General features: G+C 34.7%; 2 long non-coding RNA genes across 3 annotated transcripts; one reads left to right on the top strand and one right to left on the bottom strand.

The window, feature by feature from the left end:
* Positions 1–6,369: 6,369 nt before the first annotated feature.
* Positions 6,370–9,502, bottom strand: LOC100506489 (uncharacterized). Its single transcript, NR_187628.1, has 2 exons — positions 9,414–9,502; positions 6,370–7,396 (listed from the first exon to the last, which is right to left on the bottom strand). It is a non-coding gene; the product is annotated as an uncharacterized LOC100506489 (long non-coding RNA).
* A 298-nt stretch (positions 9,503–9,800) lies between these two features.
* LOC105375461 (uncharacterized) lies at positions 9,801–11,633 on the top strand. 2 transcript variants are annotated; one of them, XR_927885.2, is made up of 3 exons: positions 9,801–9,888; positions 10,270–10,749; positions 11,492–11,633. It is a non-coding gene; the product is annotated as an uncharacterized LOC105375461 (long non-coding RNA). The 2 variants fall into 2 exon arrangements; XR_927884.2 differs by having other exon boundaries at positions 10,448–10,749.
* Positions 11,634–21,101: the final 9,468 nt, after the last annotated feature.

Here is a 21,101-nt window from a genome sequence, read left to right on the forward strand (position 1 = left end):
TTTCCTGGTAACTTGTGCCATTTTCAGGAAAAGTGTGTAATATTCTAATGGAGGTCCCATGATTTGTATTACATTTGTCAAGTAGATTATTTGCACATTAATATTTTTGTAAATTAATTGGGTGAAGGAAAGAGGTTGAATAAAGTTTTAGTGTCAGAATCAGGAAGGCAGAAAGTGAATACATTCTCTCTGCTTCCATCTTGCTACAGGGAAAGTGTTCCAATTCCATACTAATCCCATAAATATGAAACCATGCAGGATTTATACACTACTTCGTAAAGAAGGATTTCTTCAGGTAATTTCTCTATTCATTGCCATCCTCTATTAAAATCTACAATTTTACTCTCCAATAATACTGATCCAAAACTGTGCTTTTTCTACAAAGGCACACAATTTGTAACAATAGAATTGAATATAATTTGCTTGTTAGAGAACCTGTTTTGTTTTGTTTCTTTGAATCGAAAAGTGATGTGGCCAATAGAGAATCTTAGCTTGTAGGTTGTATTTGAAATTAGAAAAATGGGACAAGAATGATCTCGGCCTCAAAATGATGCCAGTCTCTCAATGAAATCATCTGACTGAAACCATAGCAAATAGGTGAATTTATATCTGTCACTTAGTGGCTTGTTGAGAAATTAGTGACTCCTAATCTTGGTAATTTTTATTAAGTTCTGTATTTTTATAAAAATAGAGGTTTAGTCATAAAATCAGGCAGAAATGGAGGATTTTAAGTTTGCTGCATGCAATTAAAAAAATACATAATTACTGCTGAAGTCACTTAGCAAAAGAACGCTTACCAGTTCTGCTTTGGGAGCCTGCACTTGATTTCCTACGAAAATTAATCGGCTATCAAACAATCTTCAGCCACTGAGGATGATTATAAAAAGGGAAGAAAATGCCCTTTGTGTAGGTGAAATGTGTCGTGGACTGTCATCGTAATATACCTCAGTGAAATGAAGGTTAATTCTGATGTACAACCTGCATGACAGTCATTATCAGTGAATCATGAAAATAAATTAAGCTACTGAAATAGATACGTTTTTCTCTCATACACAGTGGGTATCCTGTGAGGAATGGACAGATGAACTTTACAGATTATTATTGGAAAATAGTGTGGAATTCAATTAATACACCTAAAGACACCTTTATAGAGGGCAGCCATAATTTAAATGACAGCAGGAAGTAATTTTGCTGGATATAAGTCAAATTTTCAGAATTTCAGGTTCTACATTATTAATTGTTTTTAAAAAATCTTTAAAAAAACTGATTCCTTTTGCTAAAAGAAGTAGGTCCTTTGTTCAAAGTTTTCTTAAATTGAAATAATTTTACATAACTATCTTGGCCTTTTCTTTGTAAAATTAAGTCTCATTCTCATAGAGAATTGGAATAAATCAGTTAATATGTCCCTTAAATATTCTCTGTGTTTTTCAGTATTTAGTGCCTCCAGGTTTCTTACAGATAATGAAACCAGCTCTCTAAATTTGTTCTCAAAAGCAAATAGATGATAATTTTTTTATGTGGAAATTCTGGGAAGAAAATAAATTGAGGCACTAAAGAATAGGGTAAATGGCAACCTTCAACAATAAAGGTTAGATTTAATCCAAGCAGGCATCTGACAAGCTGCTGTACACGTTGAATCCATATCAGTGTGACCCTACCACAGACCTCCTTTATCCATTAATCTACACTTCTTTTAGCAGAGAGTTGAATTAGCTCACTGACAGGGCATTGCCTGCTGATTAGCGTACATCATTCTATAGAGCAGAAATAAAAGAATCACCCTCCTTCATTTAACTCCTCTGTCCTACAAAATGGTGCTAATTTTCCATCTTTCCAAAAGCAACAAGTTCGTATTTAGGTTACACTGAGGCTCTGGCTTCATTATTGACATTTTTCAAACAATTTCATCCAGACCATGTACAGGGGAAAAGAGAGCTTCACATTTGTGAGAGTGTGCCTGTGTGTGTGTGTGTGTGTGTGTGTGTGTGTGTGTATGTGTGTAAATCTGGCTAAGTATAAGTTGGACACTATGTTTAACAGTCCTATTTGAATAAATTGAAGAAAATCAAATATGTTTTTACTAATAAATTGCTGTTGTTTCTCCTCCCCAAAAATTCAAAGCAAAAAATATTTACTGTAGTATAGTGACTGGTAGTGGTTTTAAATCTTTATTATTTAAAAGAAAGGTAGGTAAAAGGTTGTTTTGAAACACATTTCTAAAATATCACTGATAAACATATTTATTTTGTCTGGCTTTCATTGAAAATGTCTGTATCATCAGAACTATGCTGAAGTAATGATCATTGCTATATATTTTTTAATAAAATGAAACACCACTTAGCCACCAAAATACTTAAAAACATGAAGTAAAAGTAAAATTCTTTGATTTAGATCAATCTGGTAACAAAGATACAAAACACATTAGATAAAATAATTTCTATGACATGAAACAAGTATGCATTTTAAATATTATTTTGAGAAACCATGCATTTTGGACAAAGTAAATTCAACTACTGTCTATCATTAAATGCATTTAAATGTTAAACCTAATACGGCTCATACTATATCATGTCACTTTCACTGCTAATCACACAATTTCCTATAATTTTTTATGCACTTGGCTGGCAGAGAAATGACCTCTAAAGTCACTAGTTAAGTAATAAACTTTATGTATCATTCTTTTGTTAATAAAGTACTTCAAGCTGTGACTTCTTAATTGGATTAAATACCCATTTTGTGTTTCTATCAATCAATATTTATTTAGAAACTGAATTTGGAGGTTGGCAGACGTGAGAGGAGGTAAAGAGAATTGCTCAGACATCTCTGAAAGACAGTAAATTTAGACAGGTTAGATGATTGTGGACTATGTTATTCCACCTGATAACATTAAGTCTTCGGTTTGCACACTATTATTTTCACAAACCCTAGTTCATCAAGAAAACAGTATTTCTAAGATGAGAGTATAATTTTAGCGAACACTGCTTTGCCAGTTATACAGTGTCACTGGGAAGTACTGCCTTCTATAGGTAGTATTTTCAGCAATGACGTACAATTGTGGCCCCTTTTCTCTATGCCAAAGCATGCAAAATATTCAAGAATGGCCTATTCAGAAGAAGGAGCAGGTAAATTCTTTTTAAATCTTACCATCTATATTAATGGACCCTTTACAACTCCATATATGCTGCAGTTTGATGTTTTGAACCAAATGAGACGACGGCAAAATCAGAAAGGAAAAATAGCACTGAAGTGCATCTTGCCCCTTAAATCTCGTGCTAGAAACAGGAGCAAAATTAACGCGCTGGAGCCATCTTCTGACTGCACGGAACTGCGGCATCTCACAATGGACGCTGCGTTAATAAGTTAGGTGGCCAGGATCTTGCCACAGACACGTCAGGTTTTTATATCCTGTTTCTTTTCCCTAATGATCTGCCTTAATATGTACTTCACTTTGATTCTCTTCTGTCTGCTTTCCATCTTTTAGAAAAGAAACAATGCAATTATTTGGATTTGGGTTTCATTTGTGACAGTCTTTAAAAGAAAGAGCTGTCTGTGTCTACACAGGTAAAAAGATCCAGTGAGAGGAGGCAATTACCCAGAATTTCAGGCCCCAAATTTTGCAAAGAGAATGAAATCCAAATCTGCTGTTGGGAGGGCAGGGAGTCCATCTAAGGGACCCAGACTGAAAGATTTCTAACTAATTGCTTTATTGAAGAAAAAAGTTATTAAGGAAACAAGTCTTATTTTAGGTTATTCTTTCTACTGTACAGAATGTCAATTTCAGATGTGTTTCAGAGCCATTGAAATGTGTGTGCAGTAAAAAGCACAAAGAAGTACGTGCACTGTGCACCAAAGTTAAAAAGCACAGCTCCTGTTTAGTCTCAAATTCTCAGGGCCACAACTGTGGCTAGCTAACCTTTGGAAAATAAGCAAATTTAGTTTTCGCTAACATTCAGAGTAGAACCATATTGGCATAAATCCACACCTAGAGACTGTTTACTTGAACTCTTCTTCGCCTGATATACCTGTAAAAAGTGAGAGCTGAGAGAAATACACACAAATGTGCCCTTTAGGATCTTGTGACCCCAGGAGTATATTTTCCTTTATGATTTCAAATATTTAATCAATTACTCTGCACACACAGCATCTATAAAATGTTTTTCGGTATATTTCTATGAAATGCAGAAAATGTCAACATTATAACAAACTTGCCATTAGAAATTATTAATGAAAAATATTCCAAAAGAAATCCACATAAAATGTGTCTACCTTCCCAACCTACCTACATGCTTTGAGTTTAAAAACAGGGGAAATCTGGAAATAATATTAAAATATTATAACCTTTGTTACAATCTTCTGCCTATATAACATTATATCAAAAAGGTATTTTATTGTTTAATTTGTATATAACAAAAGTAAATATTAGTATTCTGTAACACAAATATATAGCTAAAAGACAGTTTTAAATGGTCAGGATTCAAATACTAACAAACACTAATGGAATTTCTACAACTTGAAGCTCTAAGATTAGTTTCTTCCTTTCTTTCATCCTCATTTCTTTTCTTTCCTTGATAGTTTTAAAACAGTTTTTAGTGCTGAAGAAAAAAAAAGTAGTTCTTGATAATAAAGATTTTGTAGAGTTTTTTGTTAAAAAAAGAAACGTCTAGAATTTTCAGTATAGTTTTTTAATTTGACTATATGCATGTATGTATACATATATGTAATGGGGAAGAGATTTTTCAAGAATGGCATAAAGGGCTGAATTTGATGTCAGTTTAATTTGTCAGTATATTTTAATGGTTCCCTGTCCATTGTGGTTTGTCTCAGGAGTGCAAAAGAATGCTCAGAAGAAGAAGTTTCCCAGTATTGGTGGCTGCAAAAGCTTTTTTATATCCTTTTCATGAAATTTTAGGTCTTGCTGAATAGGTGTGCTATGAGACAGGAAAGAATATAATACTGTATCATTAGTAAAAAAAAAAAAAAGAGTGAACTGTTACGTTTGAGGAAATAAAAAGACTGAAAGTTAATTAACAAACTGAGTGGAAAAAATAACATCCTCTAAAATTTTATAGAATGTAAATTTATAACCATCTGGCCATAAATTGCTGATGCTGATGAGTAGCAAGTGAAGTTTGTATGCACAGCCTGGCTTCAGCGTCTTTGGGAGGGGTGAACTTGGCGTGACTTTTTGTTTATTTGCCCTGGCCTTGATTTTTTTTTGAAGCATTACATGACCTGCTCTGTGAAAGAAGCCCTTGTGTTACAACGTGAAATCTGTTACAAATATTTACCATTGGGGAATGCAGGAGCGTGGATAAGTGCCAGCCAGACTAACTATAAAATTCACTGCACATTTTGGAACTAGTTACTCAGATCACACTGGGCTAAAATTCCATTTTCTAATGAGATCATGCTGCCACATATTATTGGCCTTTTGTGCCATCAAATTATGAATTCCATACTTTTCCCTAGATAAAATATTTACTTTTAAATATCTGGATGAGGGCCTGCATGCCTTAACAACCACTGTTCATCTGACGACGGCGGCATGCTAACGTTTTAAACTGTGACTCTCCCATTTGAAAAATAAATGGAATAAAGAGTGCTTTTCCTGAGATTTCAGCGGACTTTTACTCTACAACTCAAATCATACTGCATAGCTTAGAAGGGGATGTGTTGCGCTGTGGTTTTTTTTAAGAAAAATTTGGTTTTGCTTTTGAAACAAAAAGTCTTCATTTTCATTTCCATTTCTGTTGCCTTCTCTCGCTTCATTGCAAGGGAGAGCCAACAAGTGTTCTCATTTGTGGCTTTGGCTTGATATTGCTGCCCATACCTGCCATAAAGACTTCTAAGATTAGGTAACATGTTTGCTTTCTTTGAGTGGATATAATACTGCTTTTATACGCACCCATGGATCTATTTTTTTCTTTGTTTTTGCCAATTTGCCCTCCAGTTTGTGTTTATGGAGTGGTGTGGCTTAATTTCTCAATCTTTGATGTCCACTAACTTCTTACTGCTACAGTTGGGCTTTGTGGACATCTTTCCAAGCACATTGATATGCAACCAACCTAATGGTGCTCGGTACAGGAAGCCCTAATCTTGACTAACTGACAAGATTTAAATTGAGGAGACATCTTCTGCTGATTAGCTCCCACACCCACAATTATCCAACTGGGGTGTCAAGCAAGGTTTAACATCTCCACTGATTCTGGTCTCAGGAGAAATCTGGGAGGAAATGCAATCGCTTTTAATAACTGCTGCCTTCTGAACATGCAGACTCCCCAGCTGCACAATTTCCAGCCATTCAAGCTCCCTTCAAAATTAACCTTTCCAGCGAAAATATAATTTCACACAAAATGAACCACCAAGTGATTTTCAGCATAATTTATTCAAATTGCTGAACTCAGAATGGCAGAGCAATCTACAGTCCGAATAGACCCATGAATCAAGAAATAAAAAAGTTTATGTACCCAACTGTCTCCTGGCAAATATGGGACTAATTTTAAACATTCCCAGAATTCTTTGTGGATGCTACACTCCAGCACCTGCTTCTCATTAAAATTCAATTGATCTGAATTTTTTGCAAATAAGATTTGATTGCTTTCCATATCATAAAACAGCATAGGCTATATTGCTCTGAATCACCTATTGTGCAACATATGTGTCCAGTTCATCTGTATTACTTCAGTTTATGGCCGAGACCCACAGTTATCCTTTTTGTAAGTTTATAATAAGATTCTATAGATTTCCTCTTCGATCGTTTCGTGATTGGAATGTTTGGCTGAGCCAAATGCCTTAATTCACTACAGGTCTCTTAGCTTTAAAAAACACAATTCCCTGATTAAAAATGTGGTGTACATCCTGTTACAAATTGCACCACAGTTTCACACATTCTAAGTGTGGTGGCTGAATCCTATATTCCAGAAGTTAATGACTTTTCAAAAATACATTTTTAAGTATTTATCAAAGTTGAAGACGGCAGAGCCGTGGAATAGAGCATATTAATTCTTTTGCTCCAGGCAGGTATTAGGCACTTCTAAAGTCTCATATAGAGTCGTAGTAAGGCAATGTGTTATTCCTTTCCTACTGCTCTGAGAATGTATCTGTCCTTCAGTCTAGTGAGAGCACCCCCTGCTGTCATCAGGAAATCACTTCAGTTCTCTTGCACTTCTCTTCCATGGCTCTTTTATAGGTGAGACAAGCTAATAAGTGGCAATTTGCTAGCTGAGGCTCCTCCACTTTAAGAAACGAGGACTGGTGTCTCTATGCATTTCCTGTCAGGCTGATAACAGTGTTACAACATCATCTGTTTAATCCACTTGGAACCCAAGTTTAAGTTGAAATGCTCAGTAAGGAATTCATTTTCCCAGCTGATTCAATATCCAATTTTCATAGTGGGCTGAAGCAAAAACACAGTGGATTAGCTATCACTATCAATCCACAAAATATGTAATAAAAATAATCTTTTCTAAGCATTGCAATTTGAAGTTGATTAAAGTACACTAAAATGTATACAATGAAAGCTATCCAGTACTACAGTTAGAGTAGCTGGATACTGGTAACATGCCTTTCACTCTGAAAGAAAACAATTTTGAGTTAACTACATCTCTTGTCTTTTTGCTAAGTCAATTATTTTATCATGGGATAAGCAGCTGTGATTTTGTTTTTGTTTGCTTTGCTTGTTTGTTTGTTTGTTTTTAAAATCTGGCTGCTGAAAGGAAAAAATACACTTTCCTTCTTAGATGGTGTGAGTGTGTGGTTTTTATCTTGGCATGTAAATATGGCACTCAGTATGAGTGACAGAGGTCTTTGCCGAGAGGAGGAGCAGATATGGAAAGAAGCACTAAGACGCACCTCAGTCCTAAAATTAAGTTTTGAATAACTCTGGTGAGTAGCTATCTGAACATGAATGAGAAACAGCACACATCACTGAAAAGTGAGTGGTAGGCAGATCAGCTCAATTGGAGCAGTGCTTCCCGGTGCTAATGTACTCTTCATTTGGAAGCAGCTTTCAACTACAGAGTTCTCTGCTTCCATTTCCAACAGTTGTGTTCAGTTGATAATGAAGGGCCTGCCTTGAATTGCGTTAAGCACAGAAACAGGTGTAGGCCCCAAGGATCCATTAATTACCTTAAGCAGCAGGGGCTGCCTAGCACCAAATCCCAGGACTGAGCAATGGGAGGAGCATTTTAATTTACAAGGCAGAACACAGCTTAGCGGGGAGAAGACAGAGCTCTCATCCTCATTGAAGCAAAACAGCAAATACATGTCAGGTTATGGGTGGCCATTACCAGGGAGACAAAACCAAGGCCCATGACTGTGTGAGGCCAGACAATTAGAACAGGCCATGGGGACAGCAGGAGGAAGATAGGCCAGGACATGGAGCCAGGTTCATGACACTGAAACAGACCACTTAATGCTCCACTAAAGTAGAAAGAGAACCGTGGCTTCCTGAGGCTTCTTTGAGTAAATGATGGTCAAAATGAATAAAAGCTTCTATGTTAAGAAAAATAAAAAATAAAAAGCCTGCAATGATTTAGTGAAGGTTTGGAAATGGCTTCAATCCATATATCCATATGCCAAAGTAGCTAGCTCTCCAGAGCCCAACGTATAAGAGTTACATACACTTTTATCTCCAAATAAGAAGAATATTTATTTAATCCCCAATTGTTTTATGGAGAAACTACTATGTGAAAATTACCTTACTAGATACAGAGGGCCAAATAAATTGAGATTAGATAGAATCCTATTCTGGAGAACACATATATCAAGCAGGTGAGCTAAGACATGTATACACTAAGATGGGCAGCTAGGCAGGATTATTATTATTATCAGAAAGAGTTAAGCCTGAAAGATATAAGTCAAAGATTCACTGGAATTTAGGAGAGAGAGAAAGAGAAATGAAATACACACTCTCGGTGGATGACTGCAGAAGCTTTTATTAAGAAAGGGTTGTATTCTAGGTAGGCTTTCCTTAGGTTTAATTGGCAGGGAGGATAGTCTTGGTGAAAAGAATAAGCAATGTGTTTGAAAAAGGTTTGAAGTCTAGTTTGGCCAGTGTGTCATGACTTGTAGGTCAAGTGCATGACCTTGAAAATGATTATCCCCTTAAACTTTGTGCCCCTAGCACTCACTTGCCTCACCTTAGTCCTGGCTCTGCTGGCAAAAGCAGTGGGTTGGTACAAGGAAGGTGAAGTTTCATACCATGAGCCAGGCACTTTCCATACATTATTTCATTTCATCCTCATAATAACTCTATGATATAAAAAAGGAAACTGAGTTTCATAGAGTTTAAACTAAGTGGTCTTTCTTTTTTCCAAGCCCTACCCATTTTTCTTTATTAAAATAAGTGATCCATCAGTTTTAAAACTCATTGTTTTTAATATGAAAATGTATACTAACACCCCAATACATACCTTATATATGTAGCATTGTTGAGTTGCTCTGATTGAAGTAGAAGTGGATACTGGAGCCCACCCACACCAGCTTAAGTCACTTGCCCTATTCCCACCCACATACCCACCCTGTCTCCTCACTTCCCACTCTACCCATTCCTGTAGAAGAAGTACTTGAAGAGGGAATTTTGAAAATTCTGCATCCTTTCAGTCATTTATTCAACAAGCTTTGAATATCTAGCATGTCCTAGGAAATGTGCTATGTGGTGATGATAGAATGTTGACTACAGGTGACATGGCTCCTGCTTCACGATGCTACCAGTGTGACTGCAAACAAAGATCCGGTGAGGTCATAGTGAAAGTGAAGCCAGAAAGGAGCTCTACAGCCAGAGTACTGAAGAATTTGAATACTAGGCTAGTGTAGTTTATTTAATATCATTGGAAGTTTTTGTTATTGTACTTAATATGGGAGTGATTCGTTTGAAATGCCACTTAGGTATATTTTACCTTAGGAATAGAATATATAAGATGGGTTATGGCTCAAGGGGTGAAATTTAAAACTTTTGTAATTAGGAGACTGTGATAACAATATGAATGGGAAATGTCTAGTCTCAAGTCAGGTGGGAATAAAAAGGACGGAAAACAAGGATGAATGTAAACCATAGTTCAGAAAGTGAGAAAGTGATAATACATTATTTTCAGTGATAGTCTAATTGGTAGTGACTGATTGGATGTCGGGTTCAAAGGAAAAGGTGACACCTACATCATAGATAGAATTATGGAAACAGAAAAGCCAGAAAGATAAAAGGGGTTGACTTTTTATTATATTTTATTTGGTTTATATTTAAACCAAATTATTGCCCTTTTACTCTTACAGACACACCCTCTTCAGCTAACATAGGATATGAGCTTCAATTCCAGAAACTCTTAGGCATTCACCAGTGCAATCAAGGCATCAGTTGTCAGAGCAGGCCATTTGTGCAGCCAACATCAAATTATCCAGTACTCGCTATGTTCCAGGCACTCTGCTTTACTTTCATTGCCTTGTCCTCCAGGAGCTCACAGTCCACTGGGGAAGAGAAGCAGTTAGCAAAGCATTCTAATACAATGTGGAAAGTCGATAATAGAGAGAGGAATAAAGCGTCTTGGCTACATTAAGAAGGGAATACTAACCCTGCCTGAGGGAGCCTAGAAGGACTTCACTGAGGAAATAACATATGCATTAATCCTTGAAGAATGAGCAATAAGTAGCCTACCAGGCAGATAATTTCATTTAAAAAAAAAGATTTTATGCATGGAGAGAGAAACACCAAAATTATGAAAATGCAAGAGAGAATAGCATGTCTGGAGACTAATAGTAAGTAGTCTTGTGTTGTTCAAGTATAATATATATGGTGTAGAATCATGGAAATCATGAAGAGAAGCCTAGAAAGTTTACCTGAGGACAGATGATAGAGGGCTTTGTATGCTGGGCTGAAGAGACATTTTTCTTTCATTTTTTTTTCAATATCTCTGTAATAATGAAGGTGTTAAAGATTTTGGGGTAAGGATGTGATGATTAGATTTCTACATTAAAAATTATGTATCTGGCCACCTTATGAAAAACAGATTGAATGAAAAAATAACTGAGAGCAGAGATTGTGCAGTTAAGTCAAGAGAAGATGACATTGTATATTAATCTGAATAAATATCAATAGTCCAGTTTCAATTCATGTAAACCAAGACTCATAGTGAGCTTTCCTTTCAAAGGAAGATAATGTAGAGTAAGGAAATACGAAGTCAGAAAACTGATTCTTGGTAATATAAAGAGCCATTTTGAAAAAAAAATCTGAAAACAATGATATCACAGTGACCAAGGGAAAAGACATCTTTAAGAAGGAGAAAGCAATAAATAACTTTAAAGACCAAGGGAGAGTAAGTCAAATTAGAAGTAAAAAATATTCATTGGATTTCTTAAGAGTGAGCTTTTTTTGATAATTATTTTTCATAATCGTATTTGAGGAGTGGTCAAAAGGATACCAGGTTAGAGAAGGCCAAATAATAAATATACCATAAGTAAAGAGTGTAACCTTCTTTATAACATTTTTCTTCTCCACCAGTCCTACAAACTTCATCACATGGTGATGTGAATAGTGAAAGAGATTATAGGATTCTTCAGACTTCTGATAGTGTCCAGATTACTTCCAGTTGTAAGTAATTTCCAGCAGAATCTACAGCATTTATTCTCAGAACAGGATGTGGTATTACTTATATTTAACTTTAAAGGGGAAAATATTCTATACCAAAATTAAACTTCTGTGACTTATTCCAAGTTAGTTTTGTGTACTTGCTATCTACAACTTTTTCATTTCATCCTATCTGAAATATCTGTGTCTTCCAGTTTTTATTTTAACACAAATCTACTTCTCTCACCATATAAGATAAAGGAGGTTGTGAGGAAGCAAAGAAAACCAAAATAAAACCAGTATACTTGTGTTATAACAGAACTGCAGTTGAGAATAGGGCTGTGTGCAAATATCCTTAATTTGTTGATAGTAATATAGAAAAAAATTCTGACCTTGAAATCGGTTAATTTGCTTCTAGTCCTACTTTTGCCAGTATACCTTGTCTGACCTTTTGGTCTATTACCAAACCTGCTGGGACCTCAGTCCCTTTATTCTTAAAATCAGTGATTTTACTGGTTTATCTTCAAGCTGCCTGTCTATTCAGAATTCCATAGCAGGTTATCAGTTTGTTAAAAAAAAAAATCAATCACAGTTGGTTTTTCATTATTTTTTAACTTTACTGAGGACCTCATAAATCTTGTCAGGTCCCTTTTAAAGAACATAATATATAGCATTTAAAATCTACCATTTCTTAATTTTTCCTTCAAGTTCTCAAATATTTTTCATTTTATATTTTGAAGCCATATTTTTAGCAGTATAAAAATTGTAAATTGTTTTATCTTTCTAGTGAATCGAATTTTTTATCATTCATTATTTATCACCTCTGTTTTTGGCTAGCAATGCCCTTTCTTCTAAAGTCTACTTTATGAAATGATAATATAGGACACTAACGTTTATTTTTTTTAGTATCTATTGGCTAGCGGGGTTTTGTTGTTGTTGTTGTTGTTACTATAGATATAGTTGTAACCTTCATTTCATTCTGATGTCTTTGTCTCTTAGCCTTAGAATTTGGCTATTTTTATATTTACAATAATAATTGACAAATTTGAAATAGTTTCTATCCTTTTAATTGGGCTTTCTATTTGCTCTTTTTTTCTATATATCATTCGTTCCTTTCTCACTTTTTCTGAATTGATACAGAGTGTTTTTGTTGTTCTTTGCTTTCATGTTTGTCTACTAAGCTCCCACATTTTTTCATTCTATTAGTTTGGAAGTTACTCATTCTACCTCTGCTTTTTAAGTGGTTATCATCAAAATATTAGCATGCAGATATAATTTTTCATGTCCTGAGTTAAGGAATATCTATTCTCTCTTCCCAAACAATATGAGGATCTTAGAGTGTGTTATCTCCCAACTTATATTTTTATCCAATACTTTAATTCTGACATTTAATATCAATACATTTTGTCTTATGCCATTACTTTTTGTTTAAATTAAACTTATGCTTGCTATTTTCTCTGATTAACATTTTTCTGTCACTCTTAGTTTTTTTAAATTATTAACATCTTCATGAAACTCATATTCTAAAAGTTTAGAAAGAATTGTTTATAGTAAGATTGCTTAATTATATCCATCTATCTATCTATCTATATTTTTTGCTTTACTCTTATTCCTGAAAGGTGATTTTACAATTCTATGTTTGAAGTTATATTTTCTCAGAATATTAAAGATATTATCCCACAACTTTAGGCTTCCACTCTTGCTACTGCAAAGTCAGGTAGTCTAATGGTTGTTGCTTTGTAATCCATCTTTGTTCTCAGCCACCTTTTCTTCTTTCATTATAGTGAGTCATGGACAGGATGCCTTTTGATTTATTCTTCTTTGGATTGGTTGAGCTTCAAATATGGTAATTTTATAGCTATTAATTACTTTATTGAACGTGGCTTTTTCCTATTCATTTTATTCTCTATAAAACTCAAATTACATATATTAAACTTCTAACTATTTTTATGTCTTTTAGGATGCCTTTTGTAGGTCTCATTTCTTTATTTGTGCTTATGTCTGAAACTTTATTCGGTTCTATCTTCCATTTCATGAATTCTCTCTTTACTTGTGACTAATCTATTTAATTGTTCTAATCAGTTTCTAATTTCATTTTTTTACATTTATATTTCTATGACTCTCTTTGGCAATACTGCGTTGATAGTTGTAGTAATGTCTTGTTCTTTGATCATACGCTCCTATTCCTTGGAATTGTATGTGTGAGAAAATTTAACATGTCTGAGTTTTTTGCTTCGTGCAGATACCTGAAGACACAATCAACTTAAAACCACATTTTATTAAATGAAGAGCTTAAATTTTATGGTGACACAAAGATAATGTGAATTTGAAATCCAAGCCTGTGTATCTTGGGATTATCAGTTCTCAGTATATATATTTACCAGTCTCTTCTGGCATATGTCTGTCTATCAATCTATCTAGCACGCTATCATCTATTGTCTACCTATCTCTATTTCTATCTATCTATCTATGTATCTATCTATCTATCTATCTCTATTTCTATCTAATCATCTATCTATCTCTATTTCTATCTAATATCTCTGTTTCTATCTATCTCTATCTATATAGTTTTATTTTTAATTTTGAGACCAGCCATTGATTGTCTCTTAAAGTTATAGACTTATACAGAGATTTAAAGTCTCACTTCCTACCTTGCAGAGATCCTAGTCTTTGCATTCAGTCCTTCTCCCGCGGATCATTCAAACTAAAGATTTAGGCCACTGCGAATTCATAGCCACAAGTTTTAATACTGATTTACCTCTTTGAATTTATAGTTTCCCATTATTTTTAGACTCTAAGTATTTTCTTTTCTCTCTTGAAAGTTCAGGTTGGTTTTATGGCTCATATCATTTTCTCTTTATCTCTAAAATCTGTATATTTTATTTTTGTTTTTTATTAAGACTTTACAAATATGTTAGTTCCTTCCACCATCTAAATCAGGAACCAGCAAACTATAGCCTACAGGTCAAATACAGCACACTACCTCTTTTTGTAAATACAGTTTTATAGGAACACAACCATGGTCATTTATTTGTATATTTCTATGGCTGCTTTTACACTACCATATCAGAGTTGAGTAGTGGCTACAGAGGCCAAATGATCCACAGAGCAGAAGATATTTACTGTCTGCCTTTTGCAGAAGTGTCATGACCCCTTGATCTAAATTATTAGCAACTTGTTTATCTTAAAACAAATATCTTGGACTTAAAGTAGCAGTGCTATTTAATTTTGGCACTTTATTACTTAATGTATGTGTGTGTTCAGTATAGGTTTTTCATATCACTGCAGCAGATTAGAACTTCTTTTATGGTATGAGCTATATGTCTAAAAGGTTTTAGTATCAGATCCATCATAGAAATACACTCAATAAATGCCTTTGATGATGATGATGGTGGTGGTGGTGAAAGGGATGATGATATCTTGAATTCTCATAATTTTCTAATCCATGACAGATATAAGAACAGATATCATTTGAGAGAGTTAAATGTACCTGTCAAGTCATTTTGGAATGTGGTAAATCACCTTAATTGGATCCGTTTTGCCTCCAGGAATCTTAACTGCTTATGTTCTCTGACATTCTTACTGATAAAACTCATTGCCATAGATTAAAGCTGTGAATGTTACTCACTTTCTAACATTATAGCTTTTATTACAGGGGAATATCTGTACTATTTGTATAATATCCCATGTTCTTCCACAAAGAAAGAAATACACATTTGCATAGAAACAATGCAATATTCTAGTGATAGCTCTTCACTATCTATTTTTAGAGTGCACATAGCACAATTGTTCTGGTCCACACTGAAAAACAGGTAACATTATATATTTTTTTAAAAAACTGAGCTCTTTTTGAAAATGTTTCTGATAGAAGATGGAGATGCAGCCTGCAAAAGTTAAAAAAAAAAAAAGCAGCTGAATGAAAGATATTCTCATAAAGGAAAAAGTGAAGTATGTTAGAAAACTTTAGCCATGATATTGGGAACACGGTACTTGGCAAGAGAAGCCAGAAGTGAATGAATGAATGGTATTTGCTAGATAGAAGAAAGTGCCAAGTTAAATGAATCTAGAATACTTCAAAAATGTCCCTGTTGGAGGGATAGTGTGCTAGATATAAGGGACAGTCGGCATTTGCTAAAACACGTGAGTGACATGTCCCAGAGAATGAAGGAAAGTGCAGGGCATAGTGGCAGCTGGCGTAGAGACTATGGACAGCAGGTTTTTTACAGAGCAATGTTGTTCATGGTTAGTGGTGATCTGTGGAAAATGTAAGTGAACAGTTTTGACAGAGCAGCATGTGAAAGGGAATAAACTAACTAGAATATCTGGCTGCCATGCAACTGACTAAGAGAAAGCTATATGGGTACAAAATCAAGATGTAATATATTTGAAAACCAGGCAGTAAGTCTGAGAAAGGAAAAGAAGAAATATATTCTGAGCCAGAATTGAGAGGCATAGCATTTTCATTCAATACATTTAACTGGCATTTGTATGACAATCATTTATATCAGAAAAAAAAGTACAATGTTTGCATACTTCAAAAACATCATGTTGTACAAAGTAAATACAAACAATTGTATCTGTCAACGTAAAATAATAATAATAAAACAGTAACAACTGAAAATGTATTGTAGAATACTAATGAATAAGTTACAAGAAGTTATAGTGTGCAAAAATTTACCATTTGCTTATTTCACTGTTTAACAACTTTTCTTCCCTTGGTATGGACATTCTTAAGTAAAGAGCATTTGCCGAATGAGCACCATACACAGAACATGTTTAAAGGACTTATGGAGAGAGAGAAATAAAGTGGAGGTGATTCTGATAATGAGAAATAAGATTCTGGTTTAAATAAAATGTATAAACAAATAGCACAGACCACTGAAAATGAATATAGGTGTTGGGGTCTAACATAAATATATCTCTCAATGTTAAGAGAAGTATGTCAGATAATTGCTTTGCAAATGTAAAATGCTACATGAAGATCAATATTGCCAAGAATATTTGTTTTAAATATATTAAATATATGTTTTAAAGTTATAACGTATAAAGAATATATGTTTTAAAGTTATAACATATAAAGAATATACGTTATAAAGCAAAAGAAAGTGAAGTCTCTCTGGGGTTTCCTAATAATAACCCCAGGATTTGGGTTTGATAGGAAAGAAACACGGGCTTTTTTCTAAAGAATCGTTATTTTAGAAATCTCATTTCTGATCTAAACTTACCTATGTTTGTTGACCATCAAAGCTCAGTACAAGGCCTAATTGTTTTTAACTTAGGCACAAGGCCTATCTTTAGGCTGTTCCTAAAATATAACTGAATGTTTGAAATATAATATCTTTGTTAGCTCTGTTTGTGATTTAACATTCTTACAATATATCTTAGTATAGAGGCTATTATTTTCATAAATCCCATAAAACAATGAATAAATATTTGGAAGGAGGGTTTAATAGATGACATCAAATGATTCAACAGAGTATTTATGAAAAGTATGACAAGCTGCACATGGAAAGGGCTCTCAGAAGTGCTGACAATACTACTGAAGCAGATTACCTTAAAAGAAAACACATATGGTTCCATTTTGTGCCTTCTTGCTCAACTAAATATGTTTAGAAGCACAAGCTTGCAACCTGCTGAGTGGATCCTATTTCATCCATATGTGGATTACAGAACTAAAGAGGAGACAGCTAGAATTCTTATTCAGTTATTTTTCTACAACTCAAGATGTAAAGTACGAGCAAATATTGGAATTCCCTATTCTTTATACAGGTTCACAGCCCAAAATTCATTTATTTCTCTTTTGTGGATGACCTATTGACCATCCTTACTTCCCCAATCCCTGTGACCTATGGTCCTCTAAAACTCAGATCTTTTACAATGCGACATCTCTAAATTGGGAAGGAGAGCATCTTTTGTGGAGACAAAGGTAATAGCCAATTATCCCTTCACTCTCTTGCTACAATCTCCCCCATTAGCATACTCTATTCTTTTCCGCTATAAAACAAATCACCAACCCGACTTCTCACTCCAGTTAGTGTCCTATCTCTTTTCTCTTTCACAGTCAAATTTTTTACCTGTATTATCTACTCTTACTTCTCTATTACTTCCCTACCCAAACTCTCCTTATAACACTCCAATCTGCCTTTCCTTCGAAACTGTTTTGAAAAGTAACAGGTTTAGTTATCAATAGCTTTGATGTCATTAATTTTTGTCCTCTCAATTTCTCAATCTCTTAACTTTTCTCAATACTGTTGATTATGTCCTTATTTTTGATACATTTCTCAGCTTCTGTGACATGAGAATTTATGTTATTTGTTTGTCCTACTCATCCCACTGTAGCTACTTCTTCACCTCACCCTACCTTGGATATTAAAGTCTTAGGTATCTTAAAATCTTCTTAAATCTTCTGTTTTCAAAAGCTGGGGTGTATTAAAGCTCTGTCCTAGACTATTATCTACTGACCATGCACTCTTTTCAAAGACATCCTGATCCACCACTCTGGCTTCAATCATCATCTATAGAAAATGTATGTCATCTCTAGCCTAGGCTTCTCCTCTGAGCTACAGATACAGTTTTCTGCCTATTTGATATCCACTCCCTCATGTTTCAAAAGATACTTCAGGCCACATAAGGCTGAAAGTGTCCCATGCAGCATGGTCCACCTCCCCTTCTCAATGTATGACCTCACTCTCCTTTCAATTGTATGAGCCAGGAACATAGGAGTAGACATGTACTCTTCCTGTCCAAAGAATCTGCAAGGTTTGTCAGCTTTATCTCCTTCATATCTCTGGAATCCACCTGTTTCTCTAAAGCTTTGTTAGTAATACCCAGTGCAGATGTTTCACCTCTTCCAGATCAAAAATATCTCTTGAATTCCGCCTTCTTTTCTCAACACTCATCATGTTCTGTCATTAACTTGAACTACTGAAGTGAGCACCTAGCATGACTCATTGCCCCAATTTTTCTGCAATTCAGATAATTATCTACAATGCTATCAGAGTTATTTTTATTTTTTAATTTTAAAAATGTAAATTACCACCTGGTTATATTTGTCTAATCCTTATTATTAATTGAAAATTTTAAATCCTTATCTTAGCTGCTGCCTTCACAGTTTATTTTTAACCTCTGTCCAATATCATTTCACAAAATTCACCAACTTCAACTACAATTACAAACCATAATGAGGATCCTTGTCACCTTTCTCTTGGTTTTTCCATTTCTTTTATGGTTTTTAAGCTTGATGATTTATCTGTCTTGCACACTTCTCTTCATTCTCCCAGACACAAGTCAAACTACAGGAATCTATCAGACTGCATCAGGTAGAGAACTCTTTGTCAGTCTTCTGTGCTTCTGTACCTCTTGAACTATATATTCTAGGACAGAGTCTGGGAAACAGCTTTGAGAAACTTCAACCTTTAAAGCCAGAAGAGAGGTAGGATGAGGTAAAGAAGTAACTACAGTGGTATGAGTAAAAGAAACAAACAGCAGAAATTCTCATGTCACGGAAGCCAAGAAAATGTATCAAAAATAAGGGAGTAGTCAATAGGTTTGAGTAAAATTAAGAGATCAAGAAATTGAGAGGACAAAATATTAACAACACAAAAGCCATTGATGACTAAGTCTGTTATTTTTCAATACAGTTTTGAGGGGAAGGCAGATTGGGGTGTTCGAAAGGGAGTTTGGATAGGGAAGTAATAGAGATAGAGTAGACGACACAGGGAAAATTTTCACTATGAAAGATAAAAGAGATAGGACTGTAACTGGAGTGAGAAGTGGGGTTGGGTGACTTGTTTTATAATGAAAAGAATAGAGTATGCTGACGGGGGAAACTGTAGCAAGAGAGTGAAGGGATAATTGCCTATCATTGCCTTTGTCTCCACAAAAGATGCTCTCCTTCCCAATTTAGAGATGTCCTATGGTTTTAAAAAAATTATACTGAGTTTTAGAGGACAAAAGGTCACAGATGTGAGGGGAGTAGGGATGGTCAACAAGCTTTAGTATGTACCATGCTATAATTTCAAATTCTCTTGTTTTTATGTATTTCTTCCCAATTACACTATAAGCTTCATGATGGCAAGGGTTGTTTTAGTCACTTTTAGGTGCTTATCACCTAGCATCTTTAGGTATCTCATGCATAATAGGTGCTCAACGAAATTTCTAAACTGAAAATCAGAATATTTATAAAATCATAAAACACAAGATATAAGAGCATATTGAATACATATGTTTGATCCCTTGCTAAATAAATATCAAGGTTAGATGGTGGGACAATATAAATTACATGTTATGATCAATACCAGGAAGGAAGAGCAGTTTTAGTTAGTGACCTTTAGACACTGAGTTAGCACAGTAGAAATAATGATTTTAAGTCTAGTTTACAGTTTAAGTTTTCTGTATCTGAAATGCTTAGGAACGGAAATGATTCAGATTTCAGACTTTTTTGGATTATGGAATATTTACATATACATAATGAGATATCTTGGGGATAAGACCCAAGTCTAAATATGAAATTTATTCTATGTTTCATGTACACCTTATACATGTAGCCTTAAGTTAATTGTACATAGTATCTTAAATAATTTTGTGTATGAAACCATTTTTGACTGCATTTTGACTGCAATTCTTCACATGATGTTGAGTGTAGAGTTTTCTGCTTTTCATATCATGTCCATGCTCAAAATACTTTGAATTTTGGAACATTTATTTTGGATTTCAGGTTTTTGGATTATGCTCAACCTGTATTGGGAGTTACTCATCAGGCAAATTTGAAGTCAGAGCCAAGGGAAAAGAAAAACAATAAAGAGGACAGCTAGGATATGTGCATGCTTAAGACACATTCTAGTGGACAATATTTTGGGGTGGCCACTTTTTGAAAGTATGAATCTCTACTCCCTGAGCACTTTACCTCGAACCATGTGTCTTTAGTCAAATGCTTTAATTGTTTCAGATATCTGAAATTACAGATATCTGAAATACTAAGATTTCAGATATAGAATACTAGAATACTAAAGATTACAAGATCTTTAATGTCTATATATATACACACACTCACTATGTGTCTCCAGCACTTCCTCCAAAGCTCCAAGCACTTCCTTCAGGCATTTTGAACCACTTATATTTTGAATCATTTGAACTGGTATTTCTGTTCATGCTCCATGTTCTTTCTCACATCTTTGCCTCCTTTTTGCATTTGCTCTCCCCTCTGCCTGAAATACTATTCTCTCTTCTCTTCTATTCCTAAGGTGTCCATTTAGCTTTCCATTCCCCTAAAAACTTTCCATGACTTCAGAAACTGGGTTAGATGCTGTATTCATTTGTTTTCACACTGCTATAAAGATGCTACCCAAGATTAGGTAATTTATAAATAAAGGAGGTTTAAGTGAATCACAGTTCCGCATGGCTGGAGAGGCCACAGGAAACTTACAATTGTGGTAGAAGAGGAAGCAGGCACCTCTTACACGGCAACAAGTGAGAGAGAGAGAGAGAGCATGAAGAGGGAAGATCCCCTTATAAAACCAGATCTCATGAGAACTCACTCACTATC

Source organism: Homo sapiens, chromosome 7 (assembly GCF_000001405.40).
Source record: "Homo sapiens chromosome 7, GRCh38.p14 Primary Assembly".
Taxonomy (NCBI): Eukaryota; Metazoa; Chordata; class Mammalia; order Primates; family Hominidae; genus Homo; species Homo sapiens.